Source organism: Homo sapiens, chromosome 5 (assembly GCF_000001405.40).
Source record: "Homo sapiens chromosome 5, GRCh38.p14 Primary Assembly".
Lineage (NCBI taxonomy): Eukaryota > Metazoa > Chordata > Mammalia > Primates > Hominidae > Homo > Homo sapiens.
In genome coordinates, this window is record NC_000005.10 from 70,403,078 (window position 1) to 70,427,053 (window position 23,976).

General features: G+C 39.4%; 1 pseudogene across 1 annotated transcript in view, besides 3 other annotated features; it reads left to right on the forward strand.

Moving 5' to 3' along the window:
* Window positions 12,268–12,898: an enhancer, noted in NCBI's record as "OCT4-H3K27ac hESC enhancer chr5:69711172-69711802 (GRCh37/hg19 assembly coordinates)". NCBI's record gives its function as "activates a minimal SCP1, AML or CMV promoter by ChIP-STARR-seq in naive and primed H9 embryonic stem cells {active_cell/tissue: H9 hESC(naive and primed)}" and the evidence as "EXISTENCE:reporter gene assay evidence [ECO:0000049][PMID:30033119]".
* GTF2H2B (general transcription factor IIH subunit 2B (pseudogene)) overlaps window positions 12,293–23,976 on the forward strand; it is a 34,993-nt pseudogene continuing 23,309 nt past the window's right edge. The window contains exons 1-6 of the transcript NR_033417.1: window positions 12,293–12,473; window positions 17,172–17,260; window positions 18,203–18,280; window positions 19,036–19,122; window positions 19,796–19,846; window positions 20,222–20,276. The product of NR_033417.1 is annotated as a general transcription factor IIH subunit 2B (pseudogene) (transcript). The remainder of the gene's footprint in view (window positions 12,474–17,171; window positions 17,261–18,202; window positions 18,281–19,035; window positions 19,123–19,795; window positions 19,847–20,221; window positions 20,277–23,976) is intronic.
* Window positions 12,899–13,527: an enhancer, noted in NCBI's record as "H3K27ac hESC enhancer chr5:69711803-69712431 (GRCh37/hg19 assembly coordinates)". NCBI's record gives its function as "activates a minimal SCP1, AML or CMV promoter by ChIP-STARR-seq in naive and primed H9 embryonic stem cells {active_cell/tissue: H9 hESC(naive and primed)}" and the evidence as "EXISTENCE:reporter gene assay evidence [ECO:0000049][PMID:30033119]".
* Window positions 13,798–14,298: an enhancer, noted in NCBI's record as "H3K4me1 hESC enhancer chr5:69712702-69713202 (GRCh37/hg19 assembly coordinates)". NCBI's record gives its function as "activates a minimal SCP1, AML or CMV promoter by ChIP-STARR-seq in primed H9 embryonic stem cells {active_cell/tissue: H9 hESC(primed)}" and the evidence as "EXISTENCE:reporter gene assay evidence [ECO:0000049][PMID:30033119]".

The following is a 23,976-nucleotide window of genomic DNA, read 5'->3' on the forward strand; positions in this document are numbered from 1 at the left end:
GTTTTTTCATATACTTGAGTGTCTTCTTTTGAGAAAATATCTGTTCATGTCCTTTGCCTTTTCTTGATTTAAATTTTAAGTTCTGGGGTACATGTGCAGGAAGCGCAGTTTTGTTACATAGATAAACGTGTGTGGTGGTGGTTTGCTGCACCTATCAACCCATCACCTAGGTATTAAGCCCAGCATGCATTAGCTATTTTTCCTGATGCTCTCCCTCTCCTCAACCCCCTACAGAAAATTATAGTGTGTGTTGTGTGTTGTTCCCCATTGTGTGTTGTTCCCCTCCCTGTGTCCATGTGTTCCCATTGTTCAGCTCCCACTTATAAGTGAGAAGATGTGGAGTTTGATTTTCTGCTCCTGTATTAGCTTTGCCCTTTTTAACTGGGGTTGTTTTATGCTTGTCATTTTTTCTTCCTTATGGATTTGTTATATTAGATCTTTATCAGATGCATAGTTTGCAAATATTTTCTCCCATTCTGTAAGTTGTCTGTTTACTCTGTGGATAGTTTCTATTGCTGTGCAGAAGCTTTTTAGTTTGATTGACTTTCACTTGTCAATTTCGTTTTTGTTGCAATTGTTTTTAGAAACTTAGCCAAAAATTATTTGCCAAGGCCAATGTCGAGAAAAATATTTCCTAGGTTTTGTTTTAGAGTTTTCATAATCTGAAGTCTTACATTTTAACCTTTAATCCATCTTGAATTAATTTGTGTGTGTGGTGGAAGGTAAGCATCCAGTTTCACTCTTCTGCTTATGGCTAGCGAATTATCCCAGCACCATTTATTGAATAGGGTGCCTTTTCCCCATTGTTTGTTTTTGTTGGCCTTGTCCACGATCCAGATGGTGGTAAGTGTGCAGCTTTATTTTTGAGTGTTCTATTCTGTTCCATTGGCTTAAGTGTCTGCTTTTGTAACAGTATCATGGTTAGTGTACACTTATAGTATAGCTGGAAATTGGGTAGTATGACGCCTCTCTGGCTTTATTATTTTTGCTCAGAATTGCTTTGGCCATTCTGGCTTTTGGGGGTGTTCCATATAAATTTAGAATAGTTTTTTCTAATTCTGTGAAGAATGATGTTGGTAGTTTCATGGAGATAGCCTTGAATCTACAAGTTGCTTTGGGCAGTGTGGCCATTTTAACAATATTGATTCTTTTAATCTGTAAACATGGAATGTTATTCCATTTATTTGTGTTATCAAAATCTCCTTCCTTCCTTCCTTCCTTCCTTCCTTCCTTCCTTCCTTCCTTCCCTCCCTCCCTCCCTCCCTCCCTCCCTTCCTCCCTTCCTTCCATCGTTCCTTCCTTTTCTTATTTCCTTCCTTTTTTCAGACAGAGTCTCACCCTTTCACCCAGGCTGGAATGCAGTGGAGTTATTATAGCTCACTGCAGGCTTGAACTCCTGGCCTCAAGCCGTCAGGGTAGTTAGGACTACAGGCATGTGCCACCATGCCTCGCTATTTAAAAAAAAAAAAAAAATTTGTATAGATGAGGTTCCACTATGTTGCCTAGGTTGGTCTCAAACTCCTGGGTCCAAGCGATATACCTGCCTCGGCCTCCCAAAGGCATGAACCACTGCATCCAGCTTCAGATTTCAGCTGTGTTTTGTAATTCTCCTTGTGGAGATCGTTCACATCTTAGGTTAGTTGTATTTGCAGGGATTTTATTTTCATCCTAGGTGTTGTAAATATGATTGTGTTCTTAATTTAACTCTCAACCTGGTTGTTGTTGTTGTATAGAAATGCTACTAATTGTTGTACATTGATTTTGTATCCTGAAACCTTGCTAAAATCCTTTATCATTTCTAGTAGACTTCTGTTGAAGTCTTTAAGGTTTTTTAGGTATAGAATGATATTGTTGGGTGAAGACAGATAGTTTGCCTTAATCTTCACTTCCTATTTGGGTGCTTTTCTCTTTTTCTGTTGCAAGATTGCTCTGACTAGGATTTCTGGTACTATGTTGAATAGGAGTGGTAAGAGTGGATGTCCTTGGCTTGTTTCATTTCTAAAGGAGAATGCTTTCAGCTTTTGCCCATTGAGTATTATATTGGCTGTGGGTTTGTTGTAGATAGCTCTTTTTTATTTTGAAGTATGCTTATTTGAAGCCTCAACTGTTGAGGGTTTTTTTTTGTTTTGTTTTTTCATGAAGGGACACTGGATTTAATTGAAAGCTTTTCCGGCATCCATTGAGATGATCATATGGTTTTTGATTTAATTCTGTTTATCTGGTGAATCACATTTATTGATTTGCATATGTTGAACCAGCCATGCATCCCAGGAATAAAGCCTGTATTGTCATAGTAGATTAATTTTTTGATATGCTGCTGATGGATTCAGTTTGCTAGTACTTTGTTGAGAATTTTTGAGTCTATGTTCGTCAACAGTGGTCACCTGAATGTTCTTTTTTTTTGCGTCTCTGCCAGGTTTTGGTATTAAGCTGCTTCTGGCTTCACAGCGTGAGTTAGGAAGGAGTACGTTCTCTTCAACTTTTCTGGAATAGTTTCAGTAGAATTGTACTAGTTCTTCGTTATACTTCCGGTAGAATTTTGCTGTGAATCCATATAGTCCAGGGCTTTTTGGCTTGGTAGATTTTTTATTACTTATTCAATTTCAGAGCTTCATATTGGTCTCTTCAGTATTTCAGTATCTTCCTGATTCAATCTTGGAAGATTGCCTGTTTTCAGAAATTTATCCATTTCCTCTAGATTTTCTAATTTTTGTGTCTAGAGTTATTCCTAGTATTCTCTGAGGATTATTTTGTATGTCTGTGGGACCATTTTTAATGTCGTTTTTGTCATTCTGATTTATATATTTAGATCTTCTCTTTTTTTTCTTTGTTTATCTAGCTAAAGGTCTATCAATCTCTTTTTTTAAATCAACTCTTGGTTTCATTAATCTTTTGTATGGATTTTTGCATCTCAATTTCATTCAGATCTTCTCTATTTTAGTTGTTTCTTTTCATTCCTAGCGTTGATGTAGGGTTGTTCTTTTTTTTTTCTTCCCTAGTTCCTTTAGGTGTAGTGTTAGATTGTTAATTTGAAGTATTTCTAACTTTATGATAAAGGCATTTAAACGTTCCTCTTAACACTGATTTAGCTGCATCCCAGAGATTTTGGTAATTTGTGTTCCCATTTTCATTAATTTCACTTTCTTAAAATTTCTCCCTTAATTTTGATTTTCACACAGAAGTTATTCAGGAGAAAGTTGTTTAATTTTCATCTATTTGTGTAGTGTTGAGAGATGTTGATATTTATTTATATTTTGATTACATTGAGATCTAAGAGTGTGCTTGATATGATTTCATTTTTTAAAATTTATCCAGACTTGCTTTATGACCAAGCATGTGGTCAATGTTAGAATATGTTCCCTGTGCAGATGAGAAGAATGTATATTCTGTGGTTATTGAGTGGAGTGTTCTGTAGATGTCTTATTAGGTCCAAATGGTCAAGTGTGAAGTTTAAGTACACAGTTTCTTTCTTGGTTATCTGCTTTGATGATCCAGTGCTGCCAGCGGGGGTGTTGAAGTCTCCTACAGTTATTGGGTGGTCGTCTGTCTTTTTGTAGTCCAAAAAGAACTTGTTTTATGAATCTGGGTGCTCCATGTTGGGTGCATTTATATTTAGGGTACTTAAGTATTCTTGTTTGATCATATACTTTCTCATGACGTAATGCTCTTCATTCTTCAATTGTTCTTTTTAATTTTGATTAAAGTCTGTTTTATCTGATATAAGAATAGTTACTCCTGCTTTTTTGTTATCATTTGCATGGCAGATTTTCTCCATCCCCTTATTTTGGGCCAGTGGCTGTCATTACATATGAGATGAGTCTCTTGAAGACTACAGATGGTGAGCCTTGCATTTTTATCCAGTTTGCCATTGTATGTCATTTAAGTGGGGGTGTTTAGCCTATTTACATTTATGGTTAATGTTGATACATGAGATTTTGATCCTATCATCACGTTTGTAGCTGGTTTTTAGGTAGACTTGATTGTGTAGATACTTTATAGTGCCTGTGAGCTATGTACTTCAGTGGGTTTTTGTGGTAGCAGGTGTCATTCTTTTTACTCAATGTATAGCACTCCCTTAAGGACCTTTCATAAGGCTGGTCAAGTTGAAATTGATTCCCTCAGTATTTGCTTATCTGAGGAGAAATTTGTTTCTTCTTCACTTAGGAAGTTTAGTTTAGTGAAATATAAAATTATTGCCTGGAATTTATTTTCATTAATGATGTTGGACATAGGCCCTTAATCTCTTCTGGCTTGTAAGGTTTTTGCTGAGATATTTACTACTAGCCTAGTGGAGTTCTTGCTTTATGAAAACATGACCTTTCTCTCTAGCTGCCTTTAAGATTTTTTTTTCTTTTGTATTTACTTTGGTGAATATGATGACTGTGTGCCTTAGGGATAGTCACCTTTTGTAGTGCCTAGCTGGGTTTGCTGTATTTTTTGGATTTACATGTCACTCTCTCTAGCGAGGTTAGGAAGATTTTCATAGACTCTATTCTCAAATCTATTTTCCAAGTTGCCTTTTCTCTTTGTTTCTCTTCTAGGAATGACAATGAGTCGTAGATTTGGTCTCTTTATATAATTCCATATTTCTTAAAGCTTTGGTTCATTTTCTTTTTTTAATTCTTTTTTAAAATTTTCTTTTGACTCAGTTGATTCAACGAACCAGTCTTTGAGCTCTGAGATTCTTTCCTTAGCTTGGCCTACCTTCTGTTAATATTTCTTATTGTATTATAAAATTCTTATACTGAATTTTTTCTGCTCTAGAAATTCAGTGTGGCTGTTGTTTAAAATGGCAATTTCATCTTTCAGCACTTACTTAGATTGCTTTACTGGATTACTTGGCTAGGGTTTCAACTTTCTCCTTAATGTTCATGAGCTTCCCTGCCATCGAGGTTCTGTATTCTATGTCTGTTGCAATTATTTTAGACTGATTAAGAACCATTGCTTGGTAGCTAGTGGGCTAATTTTGAGGTAAGAGGACACTCTAGCTTTTTGAATTGCCAGAGTTCTTGCACTGATTTTTTCTCTTCTGGTAGGGTTAGTGTTCCTTTAACTGTAGTGTATGTTGAGTATAGGCAATTGGTTTTGTTTCTGGATGCTTTCAAAGGGTCAGGGCTTTCTCTGTCCAGGATTTTTATGTATGAGTAATTCTGGTGTTTGGTTTCACAGGTGTATATGTAGCAGGATAAATTTTGATGTTGTAGTTTGGGATGTGATCCAATGCATAGTGCTTAAGAGTGATGGCCAGTGGCTAGCCTAATACCCAGTGGCATGGCTGTTTTATACTTCCTTTTGTTTGCAGGTGTGCTCTATAGTGGGGGTGGGAGAGATGCCTCCATCACCAGATGTGCTCCTGGGCCCTGGGGGAGTCTCCTGCAGTCACTGTGTTTCTTGTGTTAGGTGTTCTAGGCCACAGGTCTCTCTCAGGCAGAGGCCCTTTCCTAGGAGCCATTCTGGGGAACTAGCTGTAGTGTTTGGGTTCCCTGCACAGGCTTCCTCCCTCTTCAGCTCAGCTTCATTGCTGCCTCTGCATCCACTCAGCATTTTCTCTCTCAAGATCTGCCTAAATTACGGTGGTTTACTCCATAATTTGGTATCTCTCAGTGGGGGTGGTGCTTCCTGACCATGTCAAATTGACCATGTATTGTCACAGAATGAAAACCTCTTTGATAGACTTTGTAACATTTTTGAATATTACATTCAGGAGTAAAATCTTACGCAGTGTGATCCCAGCTATCTCTTCACTTTTGAGAATAACCTTAAGTAATTAAAGGATAATTAAATATGTAATTAAAAATTGAAAAATATAACAGCTACACTTCCAGATGTCAACTTCTTTCAGAAAATTTTAAAATCTCTTTAAAGAAAGGTAAATTGAGACCAAAATAGATTAATAGCTTTATAAAAATAAGTGCTCAAGGAGGGTGTTACATGTGAAAATTAAACTTGGAATTTGTCATTTTACCCGTAAAATTACTGAGAGTAATTTCCTTGAAATGGAAATAACTTTACAAATTTTTAATTAACAAAAATGCTGAAATATTACTCCGCTTACCTTTATGTAACCTCTTCCTTGAAAACAACAATTTACTCATCTGGTGTGTGACTCTGATAACCTTCAATCATTCTCTATATCTGACACCATGACTAGTAACTTAGATCTTTAACTAAGCAACCTTTCTTTCCACCTTTGTGATATTATATCTAGTAATTTAATAACAGACAATCTATGTTGCAAATTAAACTTCCAAATTGAATAGTAATTTTCAAATCCCAAGGACCCATTTCTTCTGCCTCAATCTTAATTAGGTCTTAGTTAATAGAAAAATTAACTGGCTGGGTGCGGTGGCTCATGCCTGTAATCCCAGCACTTTGGGAGGCCAAGGTGGGCGGATCACCTGAGGTCTGAAGTTCGAGACCATCCTGGCCAACATGGTGAAACCCCATGTGTACTAAGAACACAAAAAATTGGCCGGGTATGGTGGTGGGTGGGTGCCTGTAATCCCAGCTACTCAGGAGGCTAAGGCAGGAGAATCACTTGAACTGGCGGGGTGGAGGATGCAGTGAACCGAGATCCCAGCACTGCGCTGCAGCCTGGGCAGCAACAGTGAAACTCCTCAGAAAAAAAAAAAAAAAAAAGAAAAAGAAAAAGAAAAAAGAAAATTAACTAAATCAAGCCTAAATAAAACACACTCAGGAGTTGTATCTGTTGTTGTTTATACTCCTTTGGATGCTGTGCTGGTTAGTCGTTTCCCATTCCTTTGGCTGTAAGAATGCTGATATGTCTGGGAATAGAATGCTATACCACGAAATACCAAATAATTTCAAATGGTGCCCTTAAATTGTATCACTTTTTTAAAAATTCAGATTCTTATTAGTAAAATTACTTGATAGCACTGTGCTGACCAAGTTGATTGTGATCATCCCAGCTTAGACTTTTCTAAAAACTTTTTTTTAGAATAATCTATAAACTGAACTTTAGTATGCATTTCAGATATTTAGGTATATAATTTTTTTTTTTTTTTGAGACAGAGTCTCACTCTCACCCAGGCTGGAATGCAGTGGCGCTATCTTGGCTCACTGCAACCTCCACCTCCCGGGTTCAAGCAATTCTCCTGCCTCAGCCTCTCGAGTAGTTGAGACTACAGGTACCCATCACCATGCCTGGCTAATTTTTGTATTTTTAATAGAGACGGGGTTTTACCATATTGGCCAGGTTGGTCTTGAACTCCTGACCTTGTGGTCTGCCTGCCTCGGCCTCCCAAAGTGCTGGGATTACAGGCGTGAGCCACCATGCCTGGCCTAAGTGTGTGTGTGTGTGTGTGTATTTTTTTTTTTTTTTTTTTTTTTGAGATGGAGTTTTGCTCTTGTTGAACAGGCTGGAGTGCAATGTCGCGATCTCAGCTCACCACAACCTCCGCCTCCCAGGTTCAAACAATTCTCCTGCCTCGGCCTCCCGAGTAGCTGGGATTACAGGCATGCGCCACCACACCTGGCTAATTTTTTTTTGTATTTTTAGTAGAGATGGGGTTTCTCCACGTTGGTCAGGCTGGTCTCGAACTCCTGACCTCAGGTGATCCATCCACCTCGGCCTCCCAAAGTGCTGGGATTAGAGGCGTGAGCCACTGCGCCCGGCCTATAATTTTTGATAGATGATTTTGGATTATTTTCCAGAGATAAAATTTTAAATGTTTCCATTATATCACTGATTTATTTCTGCAAATTGAATAAATTCTTAATTTTCTGCATGCACATAATACAAAAGGTATTTTCATAGTTTTGGATTTATACCAAATGAAAAGGACTCTCTTGATGAGCACCTTTAACTGATTTTTCTGTTAAAGTTTTAACAATTTGTTCTTGGAAGTCAGTTCGTGAAGGCAAGTTTGTCAGTATTTTCACAAAACTATTCAGCTGAATCCAGAAAGTGAAACAGCAAGAATTTGCATTGTAAAATTGTGTTATAAAATTGGACTTTGAAATTTCAAAAATAAGAAAAATTTTCATGTGTATTTATACTAAATACCGTTTTAGGAAACTAGGATCAGGGTGTTTCTGTTGGCGTTGGCATTAACTAGCTGGATGTAAATTTGAAAAGCCACTCAAGCAGCTTCCTAGTCTAGAAAGTCAGAGGTTTAGATTAGATTTCCGACATCCCTTCCATTTCTGACCTGTAGTTCTTGTCTGGAATTCTGCTTTGTTATAAACTATTGTTCTAAGGAGTTTGTTGTGATAGCACATAGTTCATTTTGTAAAGATTCCCTGCGTATAAAGTGATGCCCTACATATGTGATTTTGTATTAAAAGTATATAGGATCATTATTTTATTTTGAAAAATTTAAATACAGAAAAGTATAAAATATAAGTACCATCCGCCCAGAAATAACATGTGTTAATGTTTTGTCATATGTGCTTTATATTTTTTGAAATAAAGTGAAGTCAACTAGTATTTATAGTAAATAAGTTACATACACATAAGTACATATATGATATTTAATCCTCACAACGATCTTTTGACATGTGACCATTTCTTATTCTTCTTTTATAGACAAGGAACTAATGATATGATAGATTAACTGGCTGTTGTCACACTAGCAAGTGGCAAAACAAGGGATTAGGATCTTAGTCTCTTCAACTGTTAGATTCTATACTTCCATCCTGTGTTGACTTTGTTAATGGATTGGATAATGTGAGATCACTCTGATGTAAATAAAGTATCCTATATTAATTTCGAGTGCATTTTAAGTACTTGTAACATAAATGCTTCCTGTGAAATATCTGTAAAGACCTGAATGGGTACATGTGTGTAAAGAAGAATCAGGGCAGAAAAGTGCTTTTATCATGGCTCCGGGGACCTTAGCTTCAGTTGGTGTTGTGAGAATTCCTCACACAAGGACATTCTCCTTGCTTCAGCATCAGGATGGAAGTGTTTCTCATCTGGACTTTTTCAAAGACTCAGCTGGAGGAATCAGAATTCATAATTTCCTGGCAGCTCATGATTCTGCTACACTACACCATGCCATCTCTTGTGTGAAAGGACAGATTTGATGGAGGACTATGTCATCCCTCATGCGTTTCTTATTGTCTACATTTATTCTAATGGGAAGAAGTGAGCAAAAACACCTCAATAATTTGGGTAGTTTTTAGAAAACCTTGTTAGTAAATTAGAATAGTGCCACTTTGGCATTATGAGAAAGAAGCATGGATACATAACTAGGGTTTTGTGTATGACTACAACGAAATGCAGAATGGTGTCTCCAAAAGGTTTCCAGTTGCTGCCACAAGAACTGCTTGGTATTGCCTACATGTGTTGTCCTATTTTTGCTTTGCCCTTCTGCAGTTACTTGCTGTGGGACCTTGGAGAAATTAACTTAGCCTCTCTGTACTTCAGTTTTTTGTATTTGTAAAAATATATTTGTAATAATCTCATAGTTAAGAAGGTAGTTAATGTGTGACTCAGTCCTTGTCTAAAAGTAAATATGCCTAGCTACCCCCATCTTCCAAAGCCAGAAGGTGAAACTTTAACAAGTTTTCTAAAAGCAAATTGTGTTTTTTAAAAGTGCATGTGTCATCCAATCCCATATGATTGATCTGTGCTGGGTGCAGCCTTAGAATGTAAATTCTTTTGAATTCTAGGCAGAGAATGCAGGATTGGCATTCTAAATATTTGTACATGATAAACAAATGCTTCTTTAGGTTACAGCAAATAGTTTACTTATCAAGATCACGATTGTTAGATACTGTTGTCAATTACAGAGGTTTTAGATGAGGCTTTCTGGAATGATTTAGTTTCCCTGTAAGGGAGCCTGTCTATTGGAATAGACAGGTTCACTTCTCCCAGTCTTTCAAGTTGCATGCTTTTTATATCTGATTCCACTGGCTGAGCTGATTGTGAATGTCCTAACCCTGTTGATAGTGTCTGGCCACTCATGGGCAAAGAACAGATTATCCATTCTTTATAGTTGTCTTTTAGTTTTACAAGTTGAAAAAACATCTGAGTAGGTTAGATAATTTATTCTACCACTTTGTAAATGATTAGAATATGTCAGTCATAATCATGCCAAGAGATTATGGATTTATGCATATTTTGTTTTGCTGTAGTACCATTCCTAGTTGAATCTTAACATCCATGTCTAAAATCTATACAGAGCAAATATTACAGTTGGGAAAACTGTTTCAGTCTCCTCTCTTCGCAAATATGCTTTATATTTATTGGGGAGTCCTCTATCTTTTTCCTGGTTTTCCTTAAAGCCTTCCCAGGCTGATGGATAACAAACATATGCAAGAAACTTGGGGCTTGGGATTCCTCTAGGCTGTTTGTCCTAGAGGAATGCATCCCGTCTTGCAAATAGGATGGTCAATTAAGATGGAAGGAAGCAAAAGTGTGGATAGGAAGGAAGGGCACAAAAGGAAAAGTGTGGAATTTGTGTGTGAGTCCTCTAATGAGGTCAAAGGTGGGAGGGAGGCAAGCATGGAAGCTTCCTGGCACTGCGATACTAATTTCCCCTCCTCTCCCTTTTAAAATCCTGTCTTCTGGGAGGAAATGAGACTGATTATGGAGTTCCCACTAAGCCCTGCAGGGTTGGTGGAGACAACCCCATTTTACACATTAGTTCATAGACTTGGGTTGTGACTTGCTTGAGGTCACCCAGCCAGTGTGTCAGAGCCTGATTTTAAATCCAGGGCTGTTCTTTCCACTGCTATGCAAGATACCTTCTGTTTATATTTTTGAGGGAGACAACAGAGATGGGAAAAATTTTTAACAATAAAATAAAGGCAGTGGAGGGGATGAGTATGCTGATGGGGAAGGAAAGAGGCCCTAGCTTCTGCAGTTCCTTTGTGTTATTCCTAACCCTTTTCTCATCTGGGGGTGCACTGCCTCTCCATTTCTCAAGTATGGGAAATGCCAGTAATTCCACTTGTGTTAATTGGCAGTCAGACAACTTGTCCAAAACTGAATTGATCTTACCCACCCCGCCAACATTTTAATAATTGCAACCCCAACCTTTCAGTTGCTCAGCTAAAGACTATGGAGGTATCCTTGATTCTTTTCTCATAACACACATCCAGTGTATTGGTAAGATTTAGAATTCAGTCACTTCTCACCAGCTGCTGGTCCAAGCCATCACAATTCCCCCAAAGTTCTTAACAGTGCTCACAGCCTCTCCTCCCCACCTTACCCTTCTGATTGCAGCTGCCACCACTCATCCCCTGCTCACTCCTGCAGTCGTCAAAGACCCCAATGCACTTCTACCTCAGGGCCTTTGCACTTGCAGCTCTCTTTGTCTGAAGAGCTTTTCCCCTAGGTATCAGTAGGGTTAACACCCTTCCTCATTCAGGTCATGGCTTAACTGTCTTCCCAGCGAGGACTCCTCTGGCCACCCTATTTTATTTTTTGAGATGAAGTCTCTGTCACCCAGGCTGGAGTGCAAGGTTGGCTCACTGCAACCTGTGCCTCCTGGATTCAAGCGATTCTCCTGCCTCAGCCTCCCGAGTAGCTGGGATTACAGGCGCCTGCCAGCACGCCCGGCTAATGTTTTTGTATTTTTAGTAGAGACGGAATTCACTATGTTGGCCAGGCTGGTCTCGAACTCCTGCCCTCCGATGATCCACCCCCGCTCGGCCTCCCAAATCACCATGCCTGGGATTACAGGTGTGAACCATCGCACCCGGCCTGGCCACCCTATTTTAAACTGCAAACTTTTCCCCTTCAGTGCTTAGTTTTTCTCCACAGCATTATCACCATTTCATATAGTATATGTTTTTCTTCATACTGACTCCCCTTGGAGAAGGAAAACTCCACGAGAGCAAGGATTTTTGACAGTTTTTCATTGTTATTTCTTCAGTGCTTAGACATGCATCAGGCTCAAAGTAGATGCTCAATGTTTGTTGAATGAACAGCAAGAGCAATGGAGGAGTCCTGAAATACACAGCAAGAAGCAAGGATAATTCTGGCTTTACTTCTGTGGCCAGGGTCCTTCATCCCAACCTTTTAGAAGTAGAAAAACCAGATCGAGCTCCTCAGAACCCAGGTCGATGGCTGCAGAGCCTTCGACCTTCCGAGAGCGAATGGCGATCACTCTTTCCGGTTCTCTGTGAATTCCAGCTGGAACACCGTCCCTTTCCGCGCCCCAACTCAGCGGAGGCCATGCCCTGCACCTGAGCGCCCCGCTCCGGCAGCTGCACTCTGCAGCATCCGGAACGTTTCGGCGTGGCCGCAGGGCGCGGCGGAATGACTTCCGGGGCGCCCCTAAAGCGGCGGAGAGGAGTGTCGGGCGGAGTTTCCGGCTGAGAGTCCTTCTAGCGGCGCCGGTGAGTCCGCGTGTGGAAGTCTGTGAGGCGCAGAGGTGGGGCAGGCCGTCTGGCTAGCTAGGCGGCTGGGAGCGTTTTCGTGGCGGGGAACGGAGGTTGAATTGCCCTGCCTGGGCTCATAGGGAAGGAGGATGTGAAGGAGCTTGTGAAGGCAGAGGAAGGTAACTTTCGTCTGGGGAGCCGCAGAGTAGGGAGGGAAGCTGCAGGCCGTCTCTCCCTAAGTAAAAGCGCGACTTTTAGAAATGATGGTTCAGGGTTCGAGTTTGTGACCCGCTTGAGAAAGTGACCAACCTCTGAGCCTGAATCCCATACCTGAAAAACAAGGACAGTAATCACCCTTGCCAGTTTCACATAGCTTGGTAAGGTGTGAAGAAAAGCTTCTTAAATTGGGATGTTTGGTGCTCTCATTTGTTGGCAGATAGCATTCCGAGCTCATGTAACGGGAATCACACCAGTAGGCTTATGCTGAGGAACGTGGATTGTTTGGGGTTGGATTCCAGGAAACAGATCACTTAAAAATTTTTTTTTTTCTTCGAGACGGAGTCTCGCCCTGTCGCCAGGCTGGAGCGCAGCGGCGCGATCTCGGCTCACTGCAACCTCCACCTCCCGGGTTCAAGCGATTCTCCTTCCTCAGCCTCCCGAGTAGCTGGAACTACAGGCGCGTGCCACCACGCCCAGCTAATTTTTGTATTTTCAGTAGAGACGGGGTTTCACCATGTTGGCTAGGATGGTCTTGATTTCTTGACCCCGTGATCCTCCCGCCTCGGCCTCCCACAGTGCTGGGATTACAGGTGTGAGCCACCCACCTGGCCTCGCTGATATTTTTAAGAAGAAAATGGACTGACGGGAAGTGACAGGCCATTGGAGATCTTTACAAAGTCCATCTTCAGGATGCATGAATCCTTTAAACAGCATGCATGTTTACAATCAGACTTCCCATTGAACGTCTGCAGTTTTAGGGACCTTAATACCTCCTGTCCAGTCGGATTTCCCGTTGCAGGCAGCTCTAATTAAGAAGTCCTTTTAGCCGGGCGTGGTGACTCATGCCTGTAATCCCAACACTTTGGAGGACCGAGGTGGGCGGACCAGTTGTGGTCAGGAATTCGAGACCAGGCCTGGCCAACAGGCTGGTGAAACCCCGTCTCTACTAAAAATAAAAAGGTTAGCTGTGGTGGCGTGTGCCTTAATCTCAGCTATTCGGGAGACAGAAGAGACAGTAGAATCGCTTGAACCCTGGAGGCGGAGGTTGCAGTGAGCCGAGATTGCGTCACTGCACTCCAAGCTTGGGCGACAGAGCAAGACTCTTGTCTCAAAAAAAAAAGAAAAAAAAGAATTCCTTTGATATGGTCAGCCAAAAGTCTCTCAGTTGCTATTTACTTTTATATTTATAATATTTATTATATATTTGTAATTATTTTATTTATTTTGAGATAGGGTCTCACTCTGTCACCCAGTCTGTAGTGCAGTAGTGAACATAGTAGCCTCGACTCTCCTGGGCTCAAGTCATCCTCCCACTTTTGCTTCCCAAGTAGCTGGGACTCAAGTACTCGCCACCTCGCCCAGCTAATTTTTTGATGTTTTGTAGAGACAAGGTTATTGCCCAGGCTGATCTGAGCGCCTGAACTCAAGCAATCCTTTTGCCTTGGCCTCTCAAAGTGCTGGGATTACAGGTTTGAGCCACTGTGTGCCCTGCCAAGAATTTGAGTTTAAAAACGTTGAGAACGTTATGCGAGTTTTTCATTTTTAAAGTTCACAATACGTAACAGAAAACAGGGAGGAGCAAAATGTTCAGTTGAGGCTGGGTGTGGTGACTCACGCCTGTAATCCCAGCACTTTGGGAGGCCGAGGTGAGTGGGTCACCTGAGGTCAGGAGTTCGAGACCAGCCTGGCCACCATGGCAAAACCCCATTTCTACTAAAAACACAAAAGTTAGCCAGGTGTGGTGGCGGGCTCTTGTAATCCCAGCTACTCGGGAGGCTGAGGCAGGAGGATCACTTGAACTCGGAGGCGGAGGTTGCAGTGAGCCGAGATCGCGCCATTGCACTCCAGCCTGGGTGGTGAGTGAAACTCCGTCTTAAAACAAAAAAAGAAACAAAAATATTCTGTTTACAGGCAGATCACTTGAGGTCAGGAGTTTGAGATCAGCCTGGCAAGTCAGGTGAAACCCTGGCTCTACAAAAATATAAAACATGGCAAAACCCTGACTGTACTAAAAATACAAAAATTAGCTGGGCATGGTGGCACGCGCCTGCAATCCCAGCTCCTTGGGAGGCTGAGACAGGAGAATCACTTGAACCCGGGAGGTGGAGGTTGCAGTGAGCCACGAGGTGGTGGAGTTGGGAGGGAGATTGCATTGGGGAGGATGGAGGTGTGATGAGGACATTTATTTGTGCATGAATGAATGAATGACAGAGTCTCGCTCTCTCACCCAGGCTGGAGTGCAGTGGCACAACCTTGGCTCGCTCCAGTGTCTACCTGCCAGGTTCAAGTGATTCTCCTGCCTCAGCCTCCCGAGTAGCTGGGATTACAGGTGTGCACCACTAGGCCCTGCTGATTTTTGTATTTCTAGTGGAGACGGCATTTCACTATGTTGGCCAGCCTGGTCTTGAACTCCTGACCTGAAATGATCTGCTGGCCTCGGCCTCCCAAAGTGCTGGGATTACAGGATGAGCCACCGTGCCCGTTTCTCTCTCTCTCTTTCTTTCCTTTCTTTTCTTTCTTTTTTGAGGCAGGGTCTCATTCTGTTGCCCAGGCTGGAGTGCAGTGACCTGATCTCGGCTCACTGCAGCCTCCGTGCCTCCTGGGTTCAAGCAGTCCTCTTGTCTCAGCCTCCCCAGTAGCTGGGATTACAGGGGCCCGCTCCCACCAACCTCCTAGCTAATTTTCAAACTCCTGACCTCAAGTGATCACCTGCCTTAGTCTCCCAAAGTGCTAGAATTACAGATGTCAGCCATCATACCTGGCCTGGTTTTTTTTTTTTTTTTTTTTTGAGACGGAGTCTTGCTCTGTCACCCAGGCTGGAGTGAAGTGGCGTGACCTTGGCTCATTGCAGCTTCTGCCCTCCAGGTTCAAGGAATTCTCCTGCCTCAGCCTCCCTAGTAGCTGGGATTACAGGCACCTGCCACCATGCCCAACTAATTTATGTATTTTTAGTAGAGACGGGTGTTGCCATGTTGGCCTGACTGGTCTCGAACTCCTGACCTCAGGTGATCCGCACCTTGTCCTCTCAAAAGTGCAGGGATTACAGGGATGGAGCCGCTGCACCTGGCCCTGGCCTGTGTTTGTTTGTTTTGTTTTGTTTTCAACTTTTATTTTCACGGAGTACGTGTGCATGTTGGTTACATGGATAAATTGCTTGTTGTTGAGGTTTGGTATACAAATGATCCCGTCACCCTGGTAGTAAACATAGTACCCGATAGGCAGTTTTTCAACCCTCACTCTCTCCCATCCTTCCCTGTCTAATAGTCTCCAATGTCTGTTGTTCTCATCGTTATGTCCACGTGTACTCAGTGTTTAGTTTCCACTCGTAAATGAGAACATGCCGTCTTTGGTTTTCTGTTGCTGTTTTTTTTTAGGCCAGAGTGCAGTGGCACGATCTCGGCTCACTGCAACCTCTCTGCCTTCCGGGTTCAAGCAATTCTCCTGCCTCAGCCTCCTGAGTAGATGGGATTACAGGTGCTCGCCACCACATCTGGCTAATTTTTTTCTATTTTTAGTAGAGACAGGGTTTCACCATGTTGGCCAGGCTGGTTTCAAACTCCTGACCTCAGGTGATCCACTTGCCTTGGCCTCCCAAGTGCTAGGATTACAGGCGTGAGCCATTGCGTTGGGCCTCTGTTCGTGTTAATTCAATGAGGATAATGGCCTCCAGCTGTATCCATGTTGCTGCAAAAGACAGGATTTCATTGTGTTTTTTTTTTCGTTGTTTTTTTGGCTGCTAGTATTCCATGATATATTACGTACCACATTTTCTTTATCCAGTCCACCATTTATGAGCATCTAAGTTGATTTGATGTCTTTGCTATTTTGGATAGTGCTGTGATTAATATGAGTGCTCTTGTACTTTTGGTAGAATGGTTTTATTTTCCTTTGGGTTTATACCCAGTATTGGGATTGTTGGATCGACATACATGTGTCCAATAAATATATGAAAAAATGTTCAACATCACTGATCATTAGAGAAATGCAAACCAAAACCACAATGTAAATCAAAACCACAAACCCATCTCACCACCAGTTAGAATGGATATTATTAAAAAGTCAAAAAATAACAGATGTTGGCAAGGTTGTGAAGAAAAGGGAATGCTTATCCACTGTTGGTAGGAATGTAAATTAGTTCAGCCACTATGGAAAGCAGTTTGGAGATGTCTCAAAGAACTATGTTTAATTTTGTGTCCTTTTTTTTTGAATTATGAGCTATAGCATTTACCCATTTATAAATAATAAATGTGATTTAAAAACTTTTGATTATGAGAAAATTGAGACATACACAGAGAGATAGTACAATGAATCACATGTCACTCAGCTATAATAGTTCAACTACGCCCATACTGACTCCTCACAAGTCTACAGTTTGTCATGTGACACATCTATAAAGCATTTTTGTTCTTTTACAAATCGTAAAAAGACGCTTATTTTTATTGGTACCAAGTTTGTGTATAAGTTCATATTATTTCTTGGAAATGAGAAATGGAGTTCTATGAAGATTTTTAAGACAATTATTGAGTAAAATACAAAGAATAAGATGACCTGGCATTCCATTTTTTTTTACTTTATATATGTGTCTAATTTTCAAATTTAATTGGATGAATTTTGTAACAAACATCTTTAGATAACTTACATTCTAATGGTTTTTACAGATTATTGAATAATAAAATACAGTTTTGAAAAAAATGGATGAAGAACCTGAAAGAACTAAGCGATGGGAAGGAGGCTATGAAAGAACATGGTAAGGAGAGCTTTATTGCCCTGTCTTTTCTTTTAGACAATGTCTTTTTTTTTCTTTACAACTTTATTAAAGTATATTTTACATATGTTAAAATTCACCCATTTCCAATGTACAATTCAGTGATGTTTTATTAATAATTTACTGAGCTGTGCAGCCATTATCATAAACCAGTTTTAGAATATTGTAACCACTCCAGTAAGATCCTTCACATTCATTTACAATTAATTTAAATCTTAATTTAATTCCACCTGTGGGCAATCATTAGTCTACTTTTTGTCTCCAAATTTTAACCTTTTCTGGACATTTCACAAAAATGTGATCATATACAATCATGTGCCACATAATGATGTTTTGGTCAAAGACAGACTGCATATATGACAATGGTCCCATAATATTATAATACTGTATTTTTACTCTACCTTTTCTATGTATGTTTAGATATACAAATACTGACCATTGTGTTACAGTTGTCTTAAGATATTCAGTATAGTAACGTGCTGTACAGGTTTGTAACCTAGGCGTGGGATAGGCTATACCATCTAGGTTTGTGTAAGTATACCCTGTGATATTCACACAATAATGAAATTGCCTAACAATGCATTTCTCAGAATGTATCCCTGTCAGTAAGCGATGCATGACTATAATAGTTGGTCTGTTGTGGCTGGCTTTCACTTATTTTTAAGACTCATCCATGATGCAGTGTGTATTAATACTTCATTCCTTTTTTATTGCTGAATAGTATTCCCATCTATGGTTATGCCACATTATTGTTTATCCATTCACTAGTCTGTGGATATTTAGGTTCTTTACAGTTTTTGACTGTTAGGAAAATGCAGCCATGAACACTTACATGCAAATCTTTGTGTGGACATATATTTTCATTTCATTTGGGCTAGTAATCATTTTAGCTTGTCTTTTCAAACAAATAATTATGACTTATAGGGAGATTCTTAAAGAAGATGAATCTGGATCACTTAAAGCTACAATAGAAGACATTCTATTCAAGGCAAAGAGAAAAAGGTATGTAACCTTCCTATGTATCTTAAAAAGGTAAAATATATTCATTTTAAGCCTTTCTATCTATAAATACTCCTCAGTACTTCATTTTAGCTGTGTTTCAGGGTAACTGACCTATTGCCTTCTGACTATGGGGAAAGAACTAGCCACCTACCCTTGCCCCAGCAGGAAATGGTCTTTAGAGACTGTCTACAATACCTATAATTGTGTGTATTGTATTCCATAAGTTAATTATTTACTCCACTAAAAATGCACGTTATGACATTCTTACTCAGAATTAGAAAAAAAGAAAAACAAAGGAGGTCAATTGGAAAGTTGTATTTTTTTTGTGGGGGGGGATAGTATATGGAATTACATTAAAATGTTTGTATAATTTTAACAGTATTTGAGCACCATGGACAAGTTCGACTTGGAATGGTATGTCATTATTTTTTCTTTTACTAGTACAGAACTAGTTTAGGTTAGAGAAACATTCTGTCTTGCTAGAAAAAACAATAGCAAAACAACAAAGTTTTTAAAAGAATATGTTAAAAATACGTGCATAGAATATGTAATTATTAAATGCCATTTTTACTAGTCAAAATGGCACTTGAGGCTGGGCACAGTGGCTCATGCCTATAATCCCAGCACTTTGGGAGGCCAAGGCAGGAGGATTGCTTGAGCCCAGGAGTTTGAGACCAACCTGGGCAACAGAACGAGACCCAGTTTCTACAAAACAAAACAAGTACTTGAAATTGGCCCTTTCTTTTTTCCGATAGATGCGCCACCTTTATGTGGTAGTAGATGGATCAAGAACAATGGAAGACCAAGATTTAAAGCCTAATAGACTGACGTGTACTTTAAAGGTAAAATTTAAGTTTATACTAAATCATTTAAATTTGTACCAAAATCACTTAAACTTTTACTAAAAAAGTGGGGAAGAACACTGGATTCTAAAGGATATTTTTAAAGAATGCAATATTTTTTATTTTTTGCCTTGTATTTTTAGTTAATGCTAATGATAGCTAAGTAGAAGTACTGCCAGGTTATTTAGGGAAATTTTAAACCAACATAGCTAATTATTTGTGTTTTTAATTTCTATCCTCCCACCCCACATCAGGATCTTGGTTTATCAGTTACCCCTTTTCTTTCTTGAATCTTCATTCTCCTTTGCCTTACTTAACTCTGTCTCCTCAGATTACAAATATGTTCGTATTCCTAATTTATCAAAACCTATTCTCAATTCTGCTCGTTCTCCCATCTCTCTTCATTGGATCTTTTCCTCATTGAAATTTCTTCTGACACATCCAAATGGTTCCATCTTTTAAAACCTAGCTCAAACCTATCTCATCACCCACCATTTCAAATTAACGTTTTTACTGTTTAATATTTTTATTACTTAACAGTTTTTGAAAATCTGTAAGTTTAAAAGTCATGAGAAGTGACGCTTGATTAACAGGTTTCACAAACATCAGTTGGACGTGTTCTTTATGATTGTTATTTTGCCTTTATCTAGTATGTCTTTTTTTGTTTAAACAGTTGTTGGAATACTTTGTAGAGGAATATTTTGATCAAAATCCTATTAGTCAGGTACGTATCTAAGTGATAGAATTCAGAATTAGATTCCTATTTTGCTTCCAAATGTAATTTATTTTTAAAAATTGGACATGTATTTTGTGAATTACCCAAATTGTTTAACCAGTTTCTGGTATACTTAAAAATGAAAAGCGTAATAACTCTAAAAGTTAAACGTAATGTGAACTCATAGCTAAATTTATTTGCCAAAAACAGCATGAGAAAAAGTTTCTCACCTGTTGCTTCTTTCTTTTGTAATTACTAGTTTATTTTAGCTATATAAATTATTTTTTTTTCTGCTCCAATATCATCTACAGGAATAGTTATATATATTCTTAATGGGAGGAAATAACTTGTTATATTAATAATAATTTTTGTTTTTATTTCAAGATTGGAATAATTGTAACTAAGAGTAAAAGAGCTGAAAAATTGACTGAACTTTCAGGTATGCATAAAATTACCTTTACATGACTCAAGGACTTTGCTTTATTTACCCAACCTCGTAGCCCTGTTTATATGGCTGCTTAATAAGTAACGTGAAGGGTGGTTCCTCTGTCTTCTCTAGGTGAAACAATTTAATAACATCTCCCCCACCATTATATTCTTAGGATACAAGGTTAACTATTCTAAATTGAGTTCTGCGTAGTGGTAAATAATACTACATTGAATATAAATGTTTTTATTTAAAATCTATATGTGCTTATCCTGAAATTTTTTTTCTTTCCTTTTTTTTTTTTTTTTTTTGGAGATGGGAGTCTTGCTCTGTCGCCAGGCTAGAGTGCAGTGGCACAATTTCGGATCACTGCAAAGTCCGCCTCACGGGTTCAAGCGATTCCCTGCCTCAGCCTCCTGAGTAGCTGGAACTACAGATGCCCGCCACCACGCCCTGCTAATTTTTTGTATTTTAGTAGATACGGGGTTTCACCATGTTGGCCAGTATGGTCTCAATCTCTTGACCTTGTGATCAGCCCGCCTCAGCCTCTCAAAGTGCTGGGATTACAGGCTTGAGCCACCGCATCCGGCCTTATCCTGAAAATATTAAAATACAGTTATTGTAATCATTTATAAAATCCAGTTAATCTTAAAATTAAATTCTTATAAAGTTAAGCATCTAATTTAAAAGGGAAAAAGTATAAAAATTAAACTGTAGCTATTGCTAATGAATCAATTTTTCTGCTTCCATGACATACCTAACTGAATTTTAGTTTCAAAACGTAGTAATGGCATTTTTTATTTGCTTTGGTATATATGCTGTTACAAATTTGCATCACTGATTCTATTTTATTTTCTGTGAAATACACTCTCCCTTAAATCTGGTTTTCAACCTTTTATCCTTGCCGGCACACATAAGGGAAATGACATACTTTCTTCATTAGTAGTTTTTCATTAAATGCAGTGAGGAGTGAAATGTACATTGGCCTGGAGTGATTCAAGAAACTCAGTTGTGAGTAACCAAAAGAATGTCACACTAGCTTAAGTGCAGAAGGAAAATTTTGGGCTATGTTCAAAGGTGGGCCAATTCCATATATAGTTGCTGCATATGTTGGGGTCCTGGCTTTGTCTGGCTTCATTCTCTGATAGATTTTCTGGAAGTTGAAAAGATGTCTCTTAATTGTCCCAGTTCTACATTGTACCCGTAGCCTATAGCTTCAGCACACGTCTAGGGAGAACTCTGATTGGCCTGAGTTACGATCTGCCCATCCATGAACAAAGTGGCCAGGAAATGAAGTATTTTGTTTGTACGCTTCGATTGCCTGCTGATGCCCAGAGCAGGATAGAAGTAGGGTCAGCACCACATGAACTAAGCAGGATTATTATATAGTGGAAGAAGGATGGTTCCTCCAAGGTAGGAATATAAGGTCAATATTTTCCTCTCACTTTACCCACCCCGAGTTACCAGCAGTTTTCTATTGCTTCTTTTTTTTTTTTTTTGAGAAGGAGTCTCTCACTCTGTCGCCCAGGCGGTGCTGTCTTGGCTCACTGCAACCTCCGCCTCCCGGGTTCAAGAGATTCTCCTGCCTCCCCCTCCCGAGTAGCTGGGATTACAGGTGTGCGCTGCCACACCTGGCTAATTTTATTTTTAGTAGAGACAGGATTTCACCATGCTGGCCAGGCTGATCTCGAACTCCTGACCTCAGGTGATCTACCCACCTCAGCCTCCCAAAGTGTTGGGATTACAGGCATCAGCCACCATGCCCGGCCCCAGCAGTTTTCTATGGATGTTAGTGAAGTCATGTATAAAGATGAAAAATATTCTGGAGATTCTGACAGGCCTCTTGAAGCCACCATTTTTTCCCTCCAATCAGACCACTGCTGTAAACCACACTGACACTATTGTAGTATGCTTTTTTCCTATACCCATAACACAGTGGGAGATTAAAAATAATTTTGTAGGGTAGGAAGAGAAGTGGATAGAGAGCCAGGAGATCTAGGTTTGGGTGCTGCTGGTCCTGCAGTTAAGCAGGCATATGTCTTTGGGCAAGTCATTTCACTTGTTTTAGATTAATTTTCTCACTTATGAAGTGAGGGATTTGGACTGCTTAGCGAGGTACTTTTCATCTCTAAAATTTATGAATCTAAAATACTTGCAGTAAATATTAAATATTACAAATGGTTAATATTTTAAAACTTACTCAGATGAGTAAAAACTCAAGGGAGCTCCAAGTTGATGAATAGACAAAGAAGACATGATTCACACAGAAAAAACCCAGAAATTAAATCAGGGAAACTAGTAATCCAAAAACACTCTACCCAATTACATAACATTTTATTTTTTAATATATTTTAAATGAGCAAAATTAAGTTTCCAAAGCAATATGTTGCTTGTGGAACCACAGAGAAACTGTTATTTATAGTGCTGATAGTCTTACAAATTAGTTCAATATTTTTTAGAAAAGCATAAAAATTGTTCCTGAAATTATATTTAGGGAATGTTATGGAAGGAGAATGATCACTCTACAAAGATACTCTTTGTAACATTATGTATAATAGTGACAGATTAAAAATTAAATGTTTAATAGTATGCTTTGATGGATTATATTTTATGACAAAATCAATTTAATGATACTTAGGTTATTGATTGATACGAAGACAGTGCTGAAATGGAAAATGTTTACGGAATACTATATTTCATTGAAACTCAGATTCCATCAATTACAAGATACTTTTATAAGCCATTAAGAAGGAAAAGTCCTAGTAGTTAAACTTTGACACAGTATCAAATGATATATGAGTTGGCTATACTAGCTTCTTGGTAATTTGACATGTACAGACATCTCAAATTTGGGGGCCAGGTGTGGTGACTTACACCTGTACTCCCAGCACTTTGAGAGGCTGAGGCGGGAGGATTGCTTGAATCCAGGAGTTCAGGACTAGCCTGGACAACATGGTGAAACCCTGTCTCTACCAAAAATATACAAAAAAATTTAGCCAAGTGTGGTGCTGGGCACTTGTAGTCCCAGCTACTTGGGAGGTTGAGGTGGGAGGATGGTTTGAGCCTGGGAGGTGGAAGTTGCATTGAGCCAAAATTGCCCCATTGCACTCCAGCCTGGCAACAGATATATATATAATCTAAATATAAATAATATAAAAAAATATTATATTAAAAAGAAAAAAAAGGATTTGGCAGCTTCTCCCCCCTTCATTTGAATTGCTTAGCATAAGATAGACAATCTTTTCAGATGCTATTTGGTAAGATAACACAGCTTCGTCTGTTTGTGGGAATATTCGTTTCTTAGGTCTTGTAAAGTTCTTGATTTCTTCCCTCAAGAAAAATACGGAATTGCATGCATTCTTCCATCAATATTTGATTCATTATAATAAATTTATGCCTCACTGCTGTGTTCCACACCTTTCTACATAAAAATATAGCCTTTTGTATTAACAACATTTCTAAAAACATTTTATTGTTTGTTTTTTGAGATGGAGTTTCGCTGTTGTTGCCCAGGCTGGAGTGCGGTGGTGCAATCTCAGCTCACTGCAACCTCCACCTTCTGGGTTTAAGTGATTCTTGTGCCTCAGCCTCCCTAGTGGCTGGGATTACAGGTGTATGCCACCATACCCAGCTAATTTTTGCATTTTTACTACAGATGGGATTTACACCATGTTGACCAGGTGTGTCTTAAACTCCTGACCTCAGGTTATCT